Here is a 22,290-nt window from a genome sequence, read left to right on the forward strand (position 1 = left end):
TAAGTATTGATGCATTTTAAAATATGTTCCCATTAAACATTTCGTTACTTTGGTAAGACTACACTTTACGTTAACTGTCACATCATGTAAGATATTTATTATCAGGTTGTAGTGGGGTTGTTGACATGTGCAGTTTCTAGTATTACACATAAATACACCACTGATTTAGTCATTGTATATAAATACACCATTGTCAACAAACTGATTTAGTTCAAATAATTTTTTTCTACACACTGATGTACTATGTTTTTCAAAAATATGCAGGTAAGCTACAGTGATACTTCAACGTAAATCAAAATATTTTAATATAATTACATTCATTACTTTCCTTTTTTAAAATTAAAATAATTTTGGGGGGGGCACAGGATCTTACTATGTTGTCCAAGAAATCCTCCCACCTCGGCCTCCCAAAGCACTAGGATTCCAAGCATGAGCCACTGCACCTGGTCCCTAATTATTTTCATTTTTAAAAGTAGCATGGACAAGTTTTAATTTTAAAATAAAGGCTTACTACTGATGCAGAATCAAGTACCAAGGCTAGATTTAAAAATAAATTTAGTTTCCATATGTACAGTAGTGACCAAAGCTAGTACTTACAACCAAAACAGTAAAGAATGAAAAGCAGTATCTTGCTTTTCAAATTGTCATTTAACAGTTGTCAGTTAAATGACAACTGTAATTTGTTGCAAGTGGAAAACGAGTTTTATATATATATACACACACACACGCACGTATCATTTAAAAAGAACACATTTGCAAATAGTTAATTTGATAAGAAGTTTCCTTAGTCAAAAAAAAAAAATTTAAAATCACCCACCTAAAATCAGAATTACTGTCCAGCAACAACAAAACTTGACGCATGACTGACAAACTATATATATACATATATGTATATGGTGTACAATGCGATGTTTTAACATACAGGCATATCGTTTTTTGAGACGGAGTTTCGCTTTTGTTGCCGAGGTTGGAGTGCAGTGGCGCAATCTTGGCTCACCGTAACCTCTGCCTCCCAGGTTCAAGCAATTGTCCTGCGTCAGTCTCCCAGGTAGCTGGGATTACAGGCATGTGTCACCACACCTGGCTAATTTTGTATTTTTAGTAGAGATGGGGTTTCTCCATGTTAGTCAGGCTGGTCTCCAACTCCCGACCTCAGGTGGTCCACCCGCCTCAGCCTCCCAAAGTGCTGGGATTAAAGGTGTGAGTCACCGTGCCTGACCTCAGGCATACCTCATTTTATTGTGTTTCACTTTACTGCACCTCACATAATGAAATGATTCTCACCCATCATATTAATAACTATCCATCTCACATATTTATTTGTTTTTGGTGAGAACACTGAAGATCCAGTCTCTTAACAAATTTCAAGTATACAGTATTATAGTCATGCTGTATACTGGATCTCTGGAATTTATTCAGATTATAGCTCAAAGTTTATGCCCTTTAACACGGTAAAAAAATTTTAATCCATTTTTTAACAGCAACTAAGCTTGTCTATCAAAGTTTGATTTGTATACAAAAAAGAAAACACTTTTAGGTGGAGAGTTGGTTAAAAAATTTATTGTAGTTTTAGAAACTGGTAGAAAGTAAGACTAAAGAGGCATTTTATAAAAAGTAAAAGATCTTCAATTTAGCACTCAAACAACTGCCAGTAGAATGTAAGACCTCTAATGATATCAAAGATAATTTGATTCAGGCCAGGCGTGGTGGCTCACACCTGTAATCCCAGAACTCTGGGAGGCCAAGACGGGCAGATCACCCGAGGTCAGGAGTTTGAGACCAGCCTGGCCAACATGGTGAAACTCTGTCTCTCCTGAAAATACAAAAAAATTAGCCAGGCATGGTGGCATACGCCTGTAGTCCCAGCTACTCAGGAGGCTGAGGCAGGAGACTCGCTTGAACCCAGGAGGGAGAGGTTGCAGTGAGCCGAAACTGTGCCACCACACTCCAGCCTGGGTGGCAGAGCGAAACTCAAGTCTTCCAAAAAAACCCCAAAAAAACAACAAAAAAAAACTGATTCAAAATTTAAAACATTTCAAGTACTTTTCTTCAGGTTCTGTGATATAAGAGACTTCCAAATTCATGAAGAAATTTAGTCAATTTGTGGCCAAAAAACCAACCAAACTCATAGCACAGATAACTACTCTTCTAAATATGAACCAGTTTTATCAACATGGTTGTAAGAACTAAACAAATACTATTTTTTGGCACTCAATTCAGTTATGGGAAAACTTTTGGCTGGGCATGGTGGCTCACATCTGTAATCCCAAACACTTTGGAGGCCAAGGCAGGTGGATCACCTGAGATCAGGAGTTCAAGACCAGCCTGACCAACATGGCAACATGGCAAAACCCTGTCTCTACAAAAAAAAAAAAATACAAAAATTAGCCGTGCCTGGTGGCACACGCCTGTAGTCCCAGCTACTAGGGAGGCTGAGGCATGAGAATTGATTGAACCTGGGAGGTGGAGGCTGCAGTGAGCTGAGATCACACTGCTGCACTCCAGCCTGGGCGACACAGTGAGACTCCGTCTCAAAAAAAGAAAAAAAAAAAAAAAAAGAAAACTTTTTAAGTATGCTTAGAACAACTTTAATATGTAACCCAACTTTTTCTAATACAAACATTATGAAGTCTGATTTATTATCAATGAAAATGTAAAACCTGAATTGAGGGGTGCCACATGTGTAAAATACCCTTTGGAGTTTGAATGCTATTAAAAAAAGAAGCAAAATAAATTATTAACAAATATTGAGGCCAGGTGCAGTGGCTCACGCCTGTAATCTCAGCACTTTGGGAGGCCAAGGTGGGTGGATCACGAGGTCAGGAGTTCGAGGCCAGCCTTGCCAACATGGTGAAAGCCCGTCTTTACTAAAATTATAAAAATTAGCCGAGTGTGGTGGCAGGTTCCTCTAATCCCAGTTACTCGGGAGGCTCAGGCAGGAGAATGGCTTAAACCTGGGAGGTGGAGGTTGCAGTGAGCCGAGATTGTGCCAGTGCACTCCAGTCTGGGTGACAAGAGCACGACTCCATCTCAAAAAGAACAAAAAAACAAAAAAAAATATTGATTACACATGTCAATATTTCAACCAATATGCCATTAATATCTGAATTTATTTCATGTTTCCTTTTACTTTCTAAAATGTGACTACTAGAACATTCTAAGTTTCATATGTGCCATTATATTTCTATTACACAGTGCTGATTTAAGTCACTTTAATAAAAATCAACAAAGTATCACATCATAGGTTTTCAAATACAAACTAACTACCGTCTCCTCACCTAGATCACTTTCCTCACTTGATGGTTCGTCTGCCTTTAAGTCTTCCTCCACCTTCTTACTATCAGGTTTTTCTTCCTAGCAAAGGGAAGACAAACAGTACTATCAGTATTTAATAACATACCGAATATTTATACTAATTTCTACAAATCTATGTATAAACTGTCAAATATGGCCAGGCATGGCGGCTCATGCCTGGAATTCCAGCACTTTGGGAGGCTGGGGTGGGTGGATCATTTGAGGTTAGGAGTTCAAGACTAGCCTGGCCAACACGGTGAAACCATCTCTACTAAAAATACAAATTAGCCGGACGTGGTGGTGCCCGCTTGTAATCCCAGCCACTTGGGAGGCTGAGGCAGGACAATCACTTGAACCTGGGAGGCGGAGGTGGCAGTGAGCTGAGATCATGCCACTGCACTCCAGCCTGGGCGACAGAGCAAGACTGTGTCTCAAAAATAAAAAAACAACTGTTCAAAATAAAGTTTGAACATTGACAATAAACAGTTTAGAGATTATAAATAGCCTCATGTCCACTCACATTATATTTTATTGCCAAATTTAGTAAAAATCTTTACAAGGGTTTTTGAGTTTTGGAACTGCAAATAAGAACCTGTGGAATTACAATAATAAACAATGAAAATTCAAAGAATTTAAAAGTGCACGACATATAGAAAGCAACACTTTCTTCCCATCCTATAAATAACCAGTGTGGTTTCTTGTATATCCCATTGCAGGATAGTCTCTCTATATATGAAACAACTCTATCCTTTGCCTTTTGCATTTAACAACGCTGTGTATCTTGTAAATTATATACCATTATCAGCCTACCTTCATCTATTCACTCAACCATATATTGTTAACCATTTTTAGGTTGCTTCCCTGTTACTTAAAAAATTAGAACCAAGGCAGGGCGCAGTGGCTCATGCCTGTAATTCCAGCACTTTGGGAGTCCGAGGTGGGTGGATCACGAGGTCAGGAGATTGAGACCATCCTGGCTAACATGGTGAAACCCCTTCTCCACTAAAAACACAAAAAAATTAGCCGGACGTGGTGGTGGGCACCTGTAGTCCCAGCTACTCAGGAAGCTGAGGCAGGAGAAGGGCGTGAACCTGGGAGGCAGAGCTTGCAATGAGCCAAGAGATCGCACCACTGCACTCCAGCCTGGGCAACAGAGTGAGACTCTGTCTCAAAAAAAAAAAAAAAAAAAAAAAAATTAGAACCAAAAACCTACCTTGTCACAAAATATTTGTTGAGTCCCTATAAAATGTGCAAAGTCTAGGTATTCTAGAATATATTGAAAAGAAAAGACAAGCCATAATTCTAGTTTAGAATGTTTTTCTTACAAAAAATTTTCAGCTGACACATAGGTTAAATATAATTTTGCCTTCATACACATTTGCCAAATAGCAAAATATCTAGGGCTCAGAAAATACCACTCTGATAAATGGTCCTTTTAAAAAAAAGGTAACTACTTTTTGGGCTTTTGCTTACCTTTTCGCATTCTCCTTCTTAATAGACATAACTTCCACTTTAAGATCCAAATAGATAACAATGTTTAAGTTTCTAAATAATAAAACAGCTATTTTCTTGTCGATTTAAGACAGCTAATCAGAAAATTTGCAAAAAAAAAAAAAGCCTTTTAGATATGAAGGCAGAAGAGAGAAATAAAAAATTATGAAGAAAGCATTCTGGGCCAGGCATGGTGGCTCACGCCTTAGTCCCAGCACCTTGGGAGGCTGAGAGATCAGTTGAGGTCAGGAGTTCGAGACCCACCTGGCCAACATGGCGAAACCCCATTTCTACTAAAAATAGAAAAATTAGCCAGGCATGGTGGGATGCACCTGTAATCCCAGATACTCGGGAGACTGAAACAGGAGAATCGCTTGAAGCCAGTAGGCTGAGGTTGCAGTGAGCCGAGATTGTACCAGTGCACTCAGACCTGGGTGACACAGTGAGACTTTGTCTCAGGAAAGAAAAAACAAACAAATAAAAGAAAACATTCTTAAACATGTATGTTCCCCTTCATCTGTCTCTCAACTTCAGCTACTGGTAACCTTCTCCTAATCTTACACGTCCTTTAAGCAAATATGCTAACCCAACACCATGATTCACACTCACAAATATCACTCAGGTAGTAGAGCAAAAAAATTAAATTACTGACCTGGGATACTTCATTTACTCTGCAAATAATAAATAAAGTACCTACAATGCATATGACACACTGTAAGGCAATGATGAAGACTACGGATGCACACCATCACGGAGCTTACCACTTACAGGCCATACATGTAACTTTTATTGTCATGTATTCTAAAACAGTGAACATCCAACCCTAAATTCTCAGTTCTAAATCAGAATCCAGAGAATTCGGGTCTACAAAGTTATAAAGATAAAGAGGTCTTAAAAGGTCTTATTTCCAAGTGATCTTGGGGAAATCAGGAGTGATAACTGGAGAGCAGCAGTTTAAAAACAACCCCTAAGAAATCTTATAGTACTTTATCACAAAACATACAAATGAAATTAAAACTTACCTTGGTATTTTCTTCTGATTTAGCTTTCTGAGTAGCAGGTGGTACTTTACCACCCATGCTTGAAGAAGATGAGAAAAAAGATATTTGTTTAGAAAATTAAAATTCACTGTCACGCAACGTATTTACACCTAAAAAATAACGTTAGACATTTAGATGACTACCTTTTCAAAATTTAAAAGTAAACTCTCAATTAATCTGAATGCTGTGGTATTATTATGGTTAAATTTTTTCCAGCTTAAAATTTATTTTAAGGCTACTGGCTAATGAACCCCTTTCTTTGCCTCAATGAGTCAAATAAACATAATGTATAGCTTCTCTGTGCCTCTTCCCAGAGGAAAAGAGGCAGATATGTCAACATGCAATGACAAAATCATTTGCACAAGCTGTTAACTTAGAATTCAACTCAGTAGGTATATCTGAATCCTAAATTTGAAACTTGAAATAAGAGTTCAATTAAATTCAAATATGCAGTTTATGAAGTAACTATACCGTCATGATATAATTCAAAATGTTTGTGTCCTGTGACTGAGACCTATGAGAATTTTTCTTGCTTATATTTGCATGCCCATCACATTATAGATTTTCTCCTTATACACCCCTCCCAACCTCATCCATTAATACTTCCTCCTGACCCTACAAACTCTTCTTTCCCAAATAGTTCAGGGCAACACAATTCATTATAAGCAAATAACTAGAAGAGAAAAATTACAAAGAATTAGCGTTACATGCTCCATTTGGTGCAGACCCTATAGTATATGGGCTACCTGCAACAATCCAGTGACTAAAATGGTTGATAGACTTAAGAGCACTCCACAACAGTTGGAAGCAACGTAGACATTATTAAAATTTGCCTTAAAAACAAACAACAAAAGCCATTAACTATGTAAAACAAGGGGATATATTAACTTTGAAAACAGAAAGGGTTCTTTTTTTTTTTTTTTGAGATGGAGTCTTGCTCTGTCACCCAGGCTGGAGTGCAGTGGCACAATCTTGGCTCACTGCAACCTCCACCTCCTGGGTTCAAGCGATTCTCCTGCCTCAGCCTCCCAAGTAGCTGGGACTACAGGGTGCATGCCATCACACCCAGCTGATTTTTTGTTTTAGTAGAGACAGGGTTTCACCATGTTAGCCAGAACGGTCTCGATCTCCTGACCTCGTAATCCGCCAGCCTTGGCCTCCCAAAGTGCTGGATTTACAGGCATGAACCACTGCGCCCGGCCTGATTCTTTGTAACTAGAGTTGTCATATCCACACTTACATTCATTTCAGTTGGGTGGAATTTGTGGTCATAAGGGTATGTGCAGGCTGAATTTAAATGGGCATCAGTTTTCTGAAGTTCTTTTATCAATTTACACTTTTATCAGCAATGTATGAGAATTCCAATTGTTTCACGCCTTGGCCAATGCTTAGCTATTGTCCATCTTAAAGATTTTTTAGCCATTCTGATAGGTGCCTACTGGCATCTCATTGCAGTTGAGTCCCTTTTCATATATTTACTGGTCATTTAAAAAGACTTTTTTGTACAGTTCAACTCTCATCCAGCTTTCTAATAGATTGTCCTTCTTTATTTGAAGGTGTTGTCTGTATTCTGCATATGAACCCTTTGTCAGCTTTATGTGTTGCAAATATTTTCTCCCACCCTGTAGGTTGCCTTTTCACTCCCTTAGTATCATCTGAGAATCCCAATATGAAGCAAAAGTATAAATGCAAAGTAGCAGATGGAATGAAAAGAAACAGAATTTGGAATTTCTTATAAGCACCATTCAAACGAAGAAAATGTGCCTACTTTTTCCATTATGTTTAATATGATAGAAGAAAATGTTACACAGTACCCTTAATATGGAATAGCTCCCATGTCAAACATAAAGATTATATGATCCAAAACATCCTAATCTGCAATTCAGCAAAGTAAAATGATTTAATGATAAGGAACAGGCATATAGACACCACAAAATTCTTTTCTATGGAAACACTACTTTGCAAAAGAGCACAGTAATCACCAGTCCTTTGTAGTTAAATTTTAATGAAGACACAGGGTTTCTTACACTGTGTTCTTCCTAAGTTTCAAAATGCAGCGTCAGGAATGTATTTAGAGTGACATCCAGACATAGTATAACTTACAGTACACTAACTTTGGGAAGTGATATTCCTGCCAAGAAATGTATTAAGCTAAATCCAATCCTAAGGGAAGGCCAGACAAACCCAAATTGAAAGTCTATAAAATAACTTGCCAATAACATTCAAACTGTTAAGATCATGAAAGTCAAGGAAAGACTGAGGAACTGTTTCAGAATGGAGACTACGTGACATGGCAACTAAATGCAACACATAAATCTGAGGATTAGATAGCATAAATGCATCAGCATTAGTTTCCTAAGTTTAGTATTTGCATTGTAAAGACTTTGTAGGAAGTACACACTCACTGGTGTTGGGGTATAATGTTGGCAGCTTACTCTCAACTAGTTCAGAAAAAATTCCTTTGTACCATACCTGCAATTTTTCTGAGCTAGAAATTGTTGCAAAAAAAATAAAAACTTTAAAAAAAAAAGAGGATTTACTCATAAGCTAGATTTAGTTTCTCCCATCCCAAATTCTAGTTAACTAATGGAAGAAAACACCAACTCATAGGTACGAAATTTCAATTAATGCTTCCAAGGCTTAGAACAAGCTACTTTCTGGCCAAAAACTGCCACTTAGACTTTGGCACTACAGGCTTTTTTATGTTACACAATCAAGTAGGACCAGTGTAGAGACTTTTCTCACATAGGACCACATAAAACTTCATTCACATTTCTCTTAATTTGATAACCTTCTAATCTGCTTTGTGCTATGGTTATTTGTACACATGTACAAAAAATTGGTTGCTACACTCTAAATTCTATATTGAGGGTAGAAATGCATTCTGTTCATTTCCTTTACAACATTTAGGAAAAGCCATGTGCCACGTACTGTACTAGGGAGTAGAAAACAAAGACACTCTCTTCGATCTTAATTACCATCAAGTAAAGCCATGAAACCACATACAAGATACTAAATTGTTAAACGGGAGAAAATAGAGTGGGAGAATGCTTCTGTCTCTAAAAAGGGAAAAACAAAAATATCTCAAAACACAGTTCTTGAAAAGAACAGTCTCCTGGATCCTCACTGACAACTAGTTCAGAAAGACTTTTAGTATTTCTCTTTGTGCAATTTAAAAGGTTAAACTAATAAATCCTTATATCAAATAAAACTAAGCTATAAACAATGCTAGCAATTATAGCAAATAGGCAGATGTACTGTTCTTCAACAGCTAAGCCTGTGAGAAACACATGTTTTCAACTTGAGTAACCCTAACAGTAGCATCAGGCCTAGGAAGACGTCTGGACCTAGAAGTCTCCACATTCAGCCCCATCTGCCACAATCTCGAACTGCAGACTGATGAAGGCAGAGAGAGAAACTGACACAAACGCAAAGGCCTCAGAGTTTATAAAAATCTTAGTTTAAATACAGAAATAAAGAGAAAAAGCTTCTATATTAAATATCTCAATTTAAGTTCAGAATAAAGTCCCTACATATGCCATGATGCTTCACCCCATACTTCAGCCAACTCAGGATGGCTAAAGAATGTAAGTGGAATCAGAAAGAAAAACTGGAATTACCTATGTTAAAATAAGGTATATGACTATTTCTTGTTTTTGTTTGGGAGATAGTAGTGCCTGACAAATATTTTGCAAACCTTAAAGTGGAATTCTCTACATAGGCACAATCACTCCAGCACAAGTCAGGAGGACACTGTTCTTACACATGCTTTTAATTTGTTCTTCTGTGTCTCCTCTTCCTCACTAGTAAGAATGAAACAAAAACATTGTATCCACTTAATGTAAAGTGGAGCCAGCTCTTGGAGCCGGCTATTTTCTTCCTGTGATACTTGTCTACGTTACCTGGAATTTTAGAAAGAATTTATTAACTGCAGGTTCTTTCCTATAATTAGGATAAAAGCATACAAATATCTTAAGGCTTTTGGATCATCAAGCTGTTCAATAGAGAAAACGACTAAAACCTAGCCCTCAATTCCTAATCCTGACATTTCCCGGTTGAGGAGTTTGCAAAATAGACTTCTTACCAATATTCATAAAGTTACTATTAACATAGTAATATTAAATGGTCTCAGAATTTCACATATAAGTAAGTCTTCCAGTAGTTAGACAATTGGTGGGGAGCTAAAAATTGAAAAACTTCTTAGAGGAAAAAAATACAACATACAACGCTGACAGATTGTAACGAGTTTTTTCCTTAGAACCAGATTGTTGTTAAGAAATATTCTTTGAGCTATTTGGTAATCATGAGCTCATCTTCCCACACAAAAATATCACGCTGGGTGAAGTGGCTCACGCCTGTAATACCACCACTTTGGGAGGCGGGGGAGTCCCTTGAGGCCAGGAGTTCAAGACAAGCCTGGGCAACTTAATGGGACCCCCATCTCTACAAAAAAATTAAATTAGCCAAGTATGGTGGCTCGATCCCGCACTGCTAGCCACCTGGGAGACTGATGCAGGAGGATCGCTTGTGCCCAGGAATTGGAGGCTGCAGTGATCCCGCCACTGTATGCGGCCTGGACAATACAGCCAAACCCTGTCTCTAAAAGACAAAAGTCACTAAACACATAACGTTCACAGCAGCACCTCTTAGGAGTCGCAATGGTCTGCATAGTTGCTATTTATCCCTGTTTAGTGCAATTTGTATGTCATCTTTTCAGTTCCCCATTAGTAATAATTTTTTAAAAAGTCATCTTAGGGAAGACTTCCCTGTCACTTTTTCTCTTCGGTGCTCCTTCAACACATAAAATGCTAATTACTATTATATAGTAAATATCAAAACGAACTTTTCTATTTATTCGTCTAAATAGACAGTACTTATACTGTTTCCTAGCACCAGGCACAATGCCTTGTCAATTAACTCCTTGCACGTAGCGAAGTACTCTACAGTTAAAGACAACAAGATTATATCCTGGAAACATGCCAGGCCTTAAGAAATTATTTTTCTCAGACGTGTTTGGAGTGATAACACTGCCAAGTAACGGAGGTATAATAAGTGATTCTCAAGATAATTAATCCTACGCAGCTACAAACGCTGTAAGGTAAAAACAATCATTTTTACAGTTATCATTTTTATTCTTACTAGTTTTGTAACTTTTAACTTACTAGTGTTATATTATTATAACACGACGTAAAGGAATAGTGCGTAAAGGAACTGCTATGTACCAATGAGACCTGAGCAGGGCACACAAGACTGAAAGAAAAACAACCCCACGCAAAATCTAAGTCTTGCAGTTTTCACTCCTCGCGTCTCCAGTGTCCACGCATCCGCAGTCCTGTTTTTGTATTTCGCCCAAGATACACCCCTGGGCAACCTCAGGGTGCGAGGAACCCAGCTCTGCCTCCTGCTCCCCGCGGCTCCTGTACTACCCAAGGCTCGCGATCTTCCATGACCCCTCGAAGTTGCCTCCCTTTCCCGGGCAAAGAAGGGGCAGCGACCCCGCCTCGCCCGCCGGACCGAGCCAGGTCCAGCCTGGCTCCCCCCTGGGGCCGTGCTTCCCCCGCCCCCAACGGTCCTCAGGCCTGGGTCTCACCTCTCCACCCACTCCCTCAGGAAGCGCATTTCCTCGGTGTGCAGAACGCTCGGATCCTGCTTACACATTTTCACAAAGGCCCGAAGCTCGTTCACTTTGCGGGGGTCCATGGTAGGGAGGTGGTGGGCGAAACTGGGGGGGCTACGGCCCGGTTCCAGGCCCAGGCGCTGGCTCGGCGTGACCGCGCAGAAGGGGGCGGCTGCCGCAAGACAGAACAGACTAGAACCTCCCCGGCCGCTGGCTCCTCCCACCCAACGGTCTCGTGACCTCGGGTCCTCCGCCTGCTCATTCCTACTCCCTCTGCGCTGCTCCTGCGCGCTCCCTAGAATCTTCTAGAAGCGTGGCTGTTCGTGCTGTTGCCTGCCTCCCTGCGCATACATTCTCATATTCTTAACTAGGAACCAGCTCCCTGGATGGGGCAACCCCAGAAATGGGCGACTTCAAGGAGGCGGGAGATAACATCCCCTCCAGGGGGCGACGTCCAAGAGCATATTGTGTGGCTGCGTGCACTGAGTAGAGCTCAACGCCCGGGACCTAAAAAAAAAAAAAAAAAAGGGCGTGGAGCCGGAGGGTCGGTCCCAGCTCGGGGCATGACGTCACAACCTGCGCCGCCGCGCAAGGAAGGCCCGCGAGCCGCCTCCGCCGGAAGGGGAGGTGCGGCTGGCCCGGTTTCCTGGCGACGCGGCCCTGCAGGCGGTTGCGTTCCCCGTCGTTACCCTCTTTCTCTTCCCGACGCGTGAGTTAGGCCGTAATGCCTTGGCTGCTCTCAGCCCCCAAGCTGGTTCCCGCTGTAGCAAACGTCCGCGGCCTCTCAGGTTAGACTCTTCTCCCACGGTCTCCTCCCATGGTGTCCCCTGGAGGGACCCAAGTTGGTCTCAGGCGATCCCTGGTTCGGCTGACCCTTCTCCTGGTGGGGCCTCCGCTCCCCAACCCTCTGTGCTCCGCGGATTTCTTCTATACCGGCTGCTCCTGGAAAGGGGTGGGCCCAGTGTGTTCTCTACCGTTGAGGTATTTTGTGAAGCCGAAATGACTGCAGAGAGAAAAGTGTGCCATCCCCCAGAGGGGCTGTCTTCCAAGTTACTCGGACTCCGAAGTTGTGGCAATTATCACACTTAAGTGACAAAGTGTCTCACATCAAGTAGCTCTTGTTTCTGTTAGGCGTGAGAGCTTGCTCCAGAATATACACGAAGCATGTTTAGTAACAAATTCTTTCAGCAGCTCCTCTTAGGAGAGGTAACTGTTTCGAAATACTTCTGGGGCGTTCTGTGTCTGAAAGTCCTGTTTGCAAAGACAAGACGAAGGATAAGGAGAATAATTTTTTGTAGGGTGTCCTCTATTGCGAGCAATTAATCTGATGAACATAAAGCTTAATCAGTGAAAACTGAATCACCTTCCTTGCAGGCGGATCTGCCATTGGATCGTATTTCAGTTTTTTGGGTCAATATATGAACAATGTGTGAACCAGAACGTATGGTATTTGACATCAAAGCTATGTCTTGGCATATGTTTATGTTGATATACTTGAATTCATTTAAAATGGAATGTTAATTACATCGACTTCTTACTATAAAAAATAAAAAGTTATTGTCCAGTGCACAGAACTTGTTCTTCAGTTCTCATAGTAAAGCTGCAGAAAGACAACTCTCCGTGGGATTAGGTGAAAAGAAAGATGTGCAATTTTTCAGTCTTTTTTTGAGACAGGCTCTCATTCTGTTGCTCAGACTGGAGTGCAGTGGCAATCTCTGCTCATTTGCAACCTCTGCCTCCTGAGTTCAAGCAATTCTCGTGCCTCAGCCTCCCGAGGTAGCTGGGATTATAGGCGTGTGCCACCACGCCTGGCTAATTTTTGTAATTGTAGTAGAAACCAGGTTTTGCCACGTTGGCCAAGCTGATCTCGAACTCCTGGCCTCAAGCGATCCACCCTCCTCTCTGAGCCACCGCCCCAGGCCTGGAATTTGCTTTTATTTGAAAGGCTCTCCCCAGCCTGACTAAAGGAGCCATACTACCAGAAGGAACACTTGCAAAGGCACAGAACTCTAAAACGGAGTGGCCAGCACTAAGCGTTGCAATCGTTTAGTATGGCTGGAGAAGCTTTTTTTTTTTTTTTTTTTTTTTTGAGACAGAGTCTTGCTCTTGTCGCCCAGGCTGGAGTGCAGTGGCGCGATCTCTTGCCTTACTGCAACCTCCACCTCCCGAGTTCAAGCGATTCTCCTGTCTCAGCCTCCCGAGTAGCTGGGATTACAGGCGCCCGCCACCACGCCTGGCTAATTTATGTGTTTTTAGTAGAGATGGGGTTTCACCATCTTGGCCAGGCTGGTTTTGAACCCCTGACCTCGTGATCCACCCGCCTCGGCCTCCCAAAGTGCTGGGATTACAGGCGTGAGCCACCGCGCCCGGCTTAGGAAAAGATTTTTTGAAAGATGTTCTCAAACAAAATAGTAGGCATTACACGAAAATGATTCTGTGATCAAATACTTTTGGGGAATGCTGCCTTTCATAATGTACATAATAGTTTAATTCTTTTTTTGGAGATGGGGTCTTGCCATGTTGCCCAAAGTAAACTTGAACTCTCACCTCAGCTTCTCAAAGTGTTGCGATTATAAGTGTGAGCCACTGCACCCAGCCCTTAATAGTCTAGGTTTCTGAGAGATGTGTTCCGCAGTAATTTGCAAAATGTGTAAAAATGTATTTGACCATGGACCCCTTTTCTGTGATGAATCTTGAACTGGTATCCCTGGAACAGATTTTGGGAGAAGTTGGGCTAGAGCATAAGATGAGTACAAGGAGCTGATAGGAAATCAAGTTGGGAAAAAAGCTGGTGGCTGGCTCGTGGAGGGCCTTGTATATTATGTTAAGCAAACAATTAGCTTTTTCCTTTAGATGGTGGGAAAACTTTGAGGAATTTTAAGCTATTGAGTAAGATGATTAAATCTAAATTTTTGGTTTTCTGTTAAGAGTGAAGAAATGGACTACAGGGCATGTCATTACATTCTTAAATTTTCTGAGACACTGATTTTTGCTTTAGTTTTTGGAAAATTGCAATTTTTTTTTCAACTTTACTACCACATGCATGATAACAGATAAACTCTACTAAATATCACATCTTATATTAGAAGCATTTAAAATACCCTGGGCTTTTATTATTTTATTTTCTGAAAATAAACTTTGAATACTAATTGTCCGCAGTCTCTTCTATAGAATAAATAACCTTTCCTTCTCCCATCTGCCCACTAAAAATCAAATACCGATACAAAACACAAGCTCTTGACTATAGCTGTCTTTTAAAAATAGCAGATATTATAATTTTTTTCTAATTTCGCATTTGTATTTGGCCAAAGTTGAATAAGTTTTAGTGCTGCTAGATGTAACTCAAACCATTTGCTCGATATCTGATGTATTTGTAACCCATCTATTTTTCTCCCAACATGACTAAATTAAAATGGCTATAGGTGCTATTTTAGAGTAATGTATTTGTAGATTTTGTGTACAAACTCTAAACAAAAATAGAAAATTTCCTGTCTGGAGTGATTCACTGATGGCCTACCATACAGACTGCTCTGAGGAATTCAGGATAAGACTGGCCTTTAAAAAAAATGTGGTAAAATATACTACATAAAATTTACCATGTTACCCGTTTTTTAATTTTTTAAATTTTCTATAGTTTTTCTTTAGAGACAGGGTCACACTCTCAGCTGGAGTGCAATGGCAAGATCATAGCTCCCTACAACCTCAAACTCCTGGGCTCAAGCAATCCTCCCACCTCAGCCTCCTAAGTAGCTAGGCCTACAGGCACGTACCACCACACCCAGCTAAATTTTTAAAAAAGTTTTTTCATAGAGGACAGGTCTCATTATGTTACCCGGACTGTCGTGAAATTCTGACTTCAACCCTCCTGCCTGGGCCTCCCAAGATGCTAGGATTACAGGTGTGAGCCACTGCACCCAGCTAAGTCTATTTCTAACTTAAAATACTTTATACTTTAATTTTTAATTTGTAGTACCTTTAAGTTATAATGCATCAAATGCTGTTCCTCCATTGGAAAACAGCCATTTCATGAATAATTGTGTAGTCTGAACCTGTGTGTCTTGATACATTCTTGTCTTCTAATGCTATGCATGTTTCGTAAGTTTGTATAGTGGTTTTAATTAGAAAAAAGAAAAATAGGCTATAAACTCTACTAAAGAAAAATTCAAAAGTAAAAAACTCATTGCAGTTTTCCAAATTCCTTTTTTTTTTTTTTAAGACAGGGTCTTACTTTGTCACCCAAGCTGGAGTGCAGTGGCGTGATCCCATTACACTGCAACCTATGTCTTCCAGGCTCAAGCAGTCTTTCTACCAGCTTCCCGAGTAGCTGGGACTACAGGTGCACACCACCACACTTGGCTAATTTTTAAATTTTTTGTAGAGAAAAGATCTCACTATACTGCCCAGGCAAATTCTTATTAGCACCAACTGTCACCACAAACTCATCCTTTTCTGACATACCCATTCAAAAAAACTACTAACCAAATGTCCACAATCCTGCTAAAAGTGTTGAAAAGCTCTTAGTATAGTATTAAGTGTTATCTACAAAATTTGTGATTAACCAAAACACACACAATTGTGTTCAAATGTTATATATTTGAAGAGTCAATTTAACAATTCCTTTTGGTAGACTTCTTTTGCACCTCTTTACGCTTCTTTTTTTTCCTCTTACCACCCTCTTTGACTCCTGCTGAGAAAATAGGGGGATCTCTGTTGCTGGTAACCCAAGATATACCTCCCTCATCATTGTCCACGAAAGTATATTGAGATACATGTTTGGAGCTGTGAGAATTTGGTGAATAGTTGTTGAATGACTGTGTTCTCCAGCTGCATTCTTTTGCAAAGCCCTCTTCATTGGCCACACTATTTACAAGAAAAAATGTCAACTCTCCATTATCTTCAGCTTCTCTTTCTTGATCACTTTCAATAATTTTCTTTGTATTAATATTTCTGCCATTAACGATTTTGTCTGAAGTTGTAACAGATATGTAGTTGTCCATCCCACTATTATCAAAAGCCAGGGAAGAGAAAGAAGTAAGGCCTTCATGCCCCAATGAACCCTGTGATGTATATCCTGTATCATATGAAGAAAATTTCTCAAAAATTGGATATTCACTGGCAGTGGAGAAAAAGTATCCTGCATCTCTGTTTCTGTTTCCATAGGAGCTTCCTGGACGATTTAACAGGTCCTCAAGCGAGTCTTCAAAGAAGTGAAAAGAAAATGGATCCCTTTCATGAAAAATTTCTTTAAAAACATCATCTGGCTTATGGAATGTGAAGCCGTACTCACATTCATCATCAAAATGACTTCCACCTCCGTTTAATCCTTCTGTGCCATATTTATCATAAATGTCCCGTTTCTCATCATTTGATAATACCTCGTATGCCTCAGCTACTTCTTTGAATTTTCTCTCTGCTTCTTCTTTATTTTCTGGATTTTTATCAGGGTGCCATTTAAGTGCCACTTTATGATAAGCTTTTTTAATGTCCTCAGGTGAAGCATATCTTTGCAGTCCTAGAACTTCATAGTAATCCACCATGTTTTAACAGATAGTTGGAAGTGGGTGTGCTGGGTATTGAGAACCGTGGTTTCCTCAGCTCAGGCTCTGCTGGTGGTGGTGATAGAGGTAGTGACTGCAAATAGGTACACTTTTATGTTAAAGACAATGTTATTACCATGTGCTAAGAGATGAGGATACTGATTATGTGGCAAGCAGAGTTACAAATATGTCAGAGAGGGCTGCATTATGGTGTCATTCTGGGGTCAGTGTAGGGACTGGACCTTCCAAATAGAGCTAGTCCAGAGTCGTACCAGACCATCCTGAATCCTCTGGACTGTTTCCCCTGTATGTTTCCCTGGAAGCTTCAGGCAGTGCCTCATAAGCCAATGGAATCTGTTGCTAATAGCCACAGCATATCCCTTGCATAATATGACCTCTAGATTACTGCGCCTTAATTGCTTCCCAGCTCTTCTATGCTTTGGTTTAGAAAAATGAAGTACTGACTTACGGGTGAAGAAAGTATTCAAACAGTTGACATATTTATTTCAGTCAAGAAACAGTTCAGAGGGAGATACAAACAAGTAACTTAGTTACAATATAATAGTTATGATGAGAGGAAGTACTGGATGCTAAACAATTATATGAGAGACAGCTCAGGCTGGGGGTGTCAATGAAAGCCTCTTGGAGGAAGTAGCCTGATATGTTAACTTTCTGCATGCCAGTGGTAAGTCATTTGAGATTATAGTATCTTTGTCCACCCAAGGTTTACTGCTGTAAAACATGTAATTAAAGATTTGGAAAGTTGTGTGTTTATGTATTCACTGTATAATTATTGATTGTCTACTTTGTGCCAGGCACCGTTTTAGCCACTGGTGATAGCAGTATTGAACAAAAGACACCAGTTTTCCTGGTGCTTGCATTATAATAGAATACAAATAGGAGAACAAATAAAATAATTTAAGATAATGCGATATGTGCTCCAAAAAAAATAGCAATGTGCTGGGGGCAGAGCGCTACTTTAGATTGGTTTTAGAAGGCTTCTGAGGAGATGACATTATTGCTGAGACCTATATGACAGTCAGCCACATAGTGATCTAATATGGTAGCCACTGGCCATGTTGATGGACATTTTGGTTGTTGCCAGTTGGGGCTGTTGGACATAAAGCTAGCACTTATTTCAAGTACAGTGGGAAGCCTTTGTGGGGAGTGGGGAATATGCAAGTTTAATGATGTGATTTACATTTGTAATGGATCAGTGGCTACTATTTGGAAATTCAGTCATGTATGGGAAAGTAGAATTCGAGAGCCAAATTAGAAACAGACCAAAGGTGATTTTCTTTGGGGATAAACTACCAGTAGTCTAGACCCGAATTTAAAGGTCTTATATTCTATACCTGGCTCATTTTATTGTCTGAGAAAATTCCCTGTAATCTTTGTTTTTCCTCCTCTATGTTGTGTTTATTTTATTTTCCATCACATTTATAACCCCTCAGTTAAATGATACGCTAATGAAATCTAAAACTGTAGTGTATGCTTCTAGTCTTTCAAGACCATTTGTCAGGTCTGAATATTTTTTTGCTTTGCATTTTTATATATACTCATTTTTTAGAGGTATTGTGAAATGCTTAAAACTCAATTTAAATTCTCTCCAGTGTATGTGCTTACATGTACTTATGTGTGGCTTACCCATGATTATAATTTGCCTACCACTGGAAATAATAACCAATAATGTCGAAAATTATTTGAGTACCCTCTGAGTCACACTGTAGCAAGTGCTCATTTAACTGACACAGCACTCTAGCAAAATAAATATTTTATGCCCATAAGAAAACAGACGTTCTGAGAGAGAAAGTAATTTGTCTAAGGCTACATAGCTTGTTAGTGAAAAATCTGATTTTTAAACTTGAGTCTAATTTCAAGTTCTCATTCCACTCTACTGCATTTCTCGGACTAGGACTTAAAGAGTTTAGGTTCTAGGCATTCCACAAACAGATACTGAGAACCTGCTGTTACCGGAAAGGGGTCCCAATCCAGACCCCAAGAGATGGTTCTTGGATCTCGTGCAAGAAAGAATTTCAGTGGAATCCACAGAGTAAAGTAAAAGCAAGTTTATTAAGAAAGTAAAGGAATAAAGAATGGCTACTCCATAGGCAGAGCAGCCCCAAGGGCTGCTGGTTGCCCATTTTTATGGTTATTTCTTGATTATATCCTAAACAGGAAGTGGATTATTCATGCTTCCCCATTTCAGACCATATAGGGTAACTTCCTGACGTTGCCATGGCATCTGTAAACTCTTGGGGTGCTGGTGGGAGTGTAGCAGTGAGGACAATCAGAGGTTACTGTCATTGCCATCTTAGTTTTAGTGGGGTTTGGCCAGCTCCTTTTTTTAAGAACATCACAGGTAAAGCTCACAGGAAGGTGACAGTCTAGGAGAAGATGTTCGCAGTGTCTAAATTTGACAGGGACTTATTTTATTTTCATTATTATTGTTACTATTATTATTATTTGAGGTGGAGTTTCGCTCTTATTGCCCAGGCTGGAGTGCAATGGTGGGGTCTTGGCTCACTGCAACATCTACCTCCCGGGTTCAAGCCATTCTCCTGCCTCAGCCCGCTGAGTAGCTGGGATTACAGGCATGCACCACCACGCCCGGCTAATTTTGTATTTTTAGTAGAGAGGGGGTTTCTCCATGTTGGTCAGGCTGATCTCGAACTCCCAACCTCAGGTGATCTGCCCGCCTCAGCCTCCCAAAGCGCTGGGATTACAGGCATGAGCCACCGCACCCAGCTGGTCAGCTTCTTTACTATAACCTACCTGTTTTATTAGCAGGGTTTTTGTGTCCTGCATTTTGTGCTGACTTCCTATTTCATTCTGTGATTAAGACTGCCTTAACTTACTGGGAATGTAGCCCAGTAGGTCTTAGCCTTATTTTACCAAACCCCTACTGAAGATGGAGTTGCTCTGGTTCAAACGCCTCTGACACTATGATACAGAGAAAAGGTAGAAAATAGGAAATTCTGCTCTTAAGAAATTCATATAGTTTGAAAAAACTAATTTCAGTGGAGTGTAAAGTTATAATACGAGCACTTGTTTCTGCAGTTATACCCTTCTTTGTTGATCCTTTGCCTCCCAGCCATCCGCTGTGCCATTTTCTCTGCCTCTTCACAACAAAACTTATCCAGAGTATTGTCTCAGTGTCTTTGCTTTCTTACATCCTATTCCCTCCTTGGCATACTCCAATCTGTCTTCTGTCTTCTTTACTCTGCTAAAATCGCCAGGGTCTCCAGTGATTGATGTTACCATATCCAGTGGTTGTCCTTTTGGCTTCCTTGTATTTTGAAGCACTTGCCACACTGTGAGCCCTCCTCACTTTTTTTTTTTTTTTTTTTTGAGATGGAGTTTCACTCTCGTTGCCCAGGCTAGAGTACAGTGGTGTGATCTCGGCTCACTGCAACCTCTACTTCCCAGGTTCAAGCCATTCTCCTGCTTCAGCCTCCCGAGTAGCTGGGATTACAGGCATGTGCCACCATGCCTGGCTAATTTTGTATTTTTAGTAGAGACAGGGTTTCTCCATGTTGGTCAGGCTGGTCTCGAACTCCCGACCTCAGGTGATCCACTTGCCTCGGCCTCCCAAAGTGCTGGGATTACAGGTGTGAGCCACTGCGCCTGGCATAGTCCTCCCCACTTCTTAAAACACTTGTTTTTTAACTTCCTAAATACCACACTCTTTTTTTGTGGGGGGCGGGGGGGCAGCGGGTAGAGACAGGGTTTAGCCATGTTGGCCAGGCTGGTCCCGAACTCCTGGCCTCAAGTGATCTGTCTGCCTGCCTCGGCCTCCCAAAGTGCTGGGATTACAAGCATGAGCCACCATGCCCAGCACTAAATACTGTACTCTTCTAGTTTTCCTTCTTTCTCCTGTGCTCTTTCTCACACTAAAATATTACAGTGCCAGGCTTTGTTCAGTCTCCCTGGGTAATACCCATTCCCAGGGCTTTAGATGCCATCTGTGTGCTTATAACACCCTAATTTATATATCTAGCCTAGCACTTTTCTCCCTGAAATTAAGATTGCTCTTTGACCTCTCCATTAAATTTATTTCCAATAAATATCTCAGGCTTTCCTGTTGCATGTAGTGGTACAACCATTTATTCACTTGTTCAAGTCAAAAATCAAGAATTATTCTTAATTCCTCTTTTTTCTTTATTTCTTATGTCCAATTAGAAGCCAGACTCATTGACTTTTAACTTCAAAATACATTTCAAATCAAGTCACTGGGAAAATAAAGTCAAATAACAAGTGATCTCTGCTTCCAAAGATTGTTCATAGTAGACTGGCAAACTAATTAGCAATTATGTGAAGTGTAGTAGGTATTAAAATAGAAATCATAGGAGCGTTGGGGAAGACATCTGAAACAAGCAGAACAGAGGCAGTAGGTGTGAGAAGAGTAAGAGAAGTCTCTTGCGTAAGTGATGTTTGAGCTGGTATTTTTTAGAATTTCTGTAATCGTATAAGCAGGCAGTGTCCACTTTAGACTAAGAGAACTATATTTTTTAATGCAAATGCTATTATGATGCAGAATGATTTAGCCGGGGTTCTTCAAGTAGCTTAGTGTGGCTGCAATAATGTTTTTTGAGGATTAGGTCAGATAAGGGAGCAGGATCCAAATCATGAAGTTTCCTAAGCAAAAGAGTTTGAAGCTTATGAACTGGATATTTTTGAAATAGGACTTAACACACCAGCTTTGCTACTAATTATATGACTTCGGGCAAAAGATGTTTAATGTAAGTAAAAAGCTATTGAGACCTTTTTTAAAAATTTACTGGGAATAAACATCTTAATTTATGTCTCCTGTTAAAGTGTTACTTGTTTGCTTTGAATTTAATAAAGTTAAGCTCCCTCTGCTTGAGAGTGGTCCAAAATATGCTAGGATTATTTCATATGAGCATTGAAAAAGGAATCAGTTAACTTTTTATATTCTGAAATTTTACTGCCTAATGAGATTACAGAAGACACTATGTGTGCATGAGTACGTGTGCACGAGCGTGCATGTGGAGAAGGTGCAGGAGGAGAGAAAGAGAAATCACCAATGCAACAGCAGCCTACTCCACCAGTGGGTTAGTGCTGCTGGAGGGAGATGAAAAGATTAGGAAGGTAAGATAGCTTTGAAGGCTTTGTATTCTAAATTAAGGAGTTAGATTTTTAACTGTCACGTGAGGTAGGCATTATCATCATTATTTTACAAACACAGAATCAGACTCAGAGAAGTAATCTGGACAAGGTTACACACTTAGTACCAGAGAAGCTGAGATTCAAACTCAGGTTTATTTGACTTCATAATCTTTGCTCTTAT

At 40.2% G+C, this 22,290-nt stretch overlaps 3 protein-coding genes across 5 annotated transcripts in view, besides 4 other annotated features; 1 reads left to right on the top strand and 2 right to left on the bottom strand.

Annotated features, from left to right (window-relative positions):
* ST13 (ST13 Hsp70 interacting protein) overlaps nt 1-11,624 on the bottom strand; it is a 32,105-nt gene extending 20,481 nt beyond the window's left edge. Inside the window, exons 1-3 of one of the 2 annotated variants that reach the window (NM_001278589.2) lie at nt 11,416-11,624; nt 5,808-5,865; nt 3,279-3,324 (exon numbers count right to left, since the gene is read on the bottom strand). In NM_001278589.2, the coding sequence (NP_001265518.1) occupies nt 3,279-3,324; nt 5,808-5,865; nt 11,416-11,525 (214 nt within the window). In that variant the 5' untranslated portion in view covers nt 11,526-11,624. Of the gene's footprint in view, nt 1-3,278; nt 3,355-5,807; nt 5,866-11,415 lie in introns of both variants that reach the window. The other variant, NM_003932.5, reaches the window with a different exon arrangement.
* Nucleotides 11,352-12,121: an enhancer, noted in NCBI's record as "NANOG-H3K27ac-H3K4me1 hESC enhancer chr22:41252371-41253140 (GRCh37/hg19 assembly coordinates)". NCBI's record gives its function as "activates a minimal SCP1, AML or CMV promoter by ChIP-STARR-seq in naive H9 embryonic stem cells {active_cell/tissue: H9 hESC(naive)}" and the evidence as "EXISTENCE:reporter gene assay evidence [ECO:0000049][PMID:30033119]".
* Nucleotides 11,352-12,438: a biological region, named in NCBI's record as "NANOG-H3K27ac-H3K4me1 hESC enhancer GRCh37_chr22:41252371-41253140".
* Nucleotides 11,749-11,968: an enhancer, noted in NCBI's record as "active region_19101". NCBI's record gives its function as "activates an Ori minimal core promoter by ATAC-STARR-seq in GM12878 lymphoblastoid cells {active_cell/tissue: GM12878}" and the evidence as "EXISTENCE:reporter gene assay evidence [ECO:0000049][PMID:35858748]".
* Nucleotides 11,979-12,438: an enhancer, noted in NCBI's record as "active region_19102". NCBI's record gives its function as "activates an Ori minimal core promoter by ATAC-STARR-seq in GM12878 lymphoblastoid cells {active_cell/tissue: GM12878}" and the evidence as "EXISTENCE:reporter gene assay evidence [ECO:0000049][PMID:35858748]".
* Nucleotides 12,133-22,290, top strand: part of XPNPEP3 (X-prolyl aminopeptidase 3) — a 75,668-nt gene continuing 65,510 nt past the window's right edge. The window contains exons 1-3 of one of the 2 annotated variants that reach the window (NM_001204827.2): nt 12,133-12,230; nt 15,663-15,778; nt 16,603-17,757. In NM_001204827.2, coding sequence (NP_001191756.1) covers nt 12,167-12,230; nt 15,663-15,766 — 168 coding nt within the window. In that variant the 5' untranslated portion in view covers nt 12,133-12,166 and the 3' untranslated portion in view covers nt 15,767-15,778; nt 16,603-17,757. Of the gene's footprint in view, nt 12,231-15,662; nt 15,779-16,602; nt 17,758-22,290 lie in introns of those variants that run through there. The other variant, NM_022098.4, reaches the window with a different exon arrangement.
* On the bottom strand, nt 14,534-17,098 carry DNAJB7 (DnaJ heat shock protein family (Hsp40) member B7). The gene has a single exon (NM_145174.2). The coding sequence runs from the start codon at nt 16,977-16,979 to the stop codon at nt 16,050-16,052; it is 930 nt and encodes a 309-aa protein (NP_660157.1). The 5' UTR covers nt 16,980-17,098; the 3' UTR covers nt 14,534-16,049.

Source organism: Homo sapiens, chromosome 22, assembly GCF_000001405.40.
Source record: "Homo sapiens chromosome 22, GRCh38.p14 Primary Assembly".
Classification (NCBI taxonomy): Eukaryota; Metazoa; Chordata; class Mammalia; order Primates; family Hominidae; genus Homo; species Homo sapiens.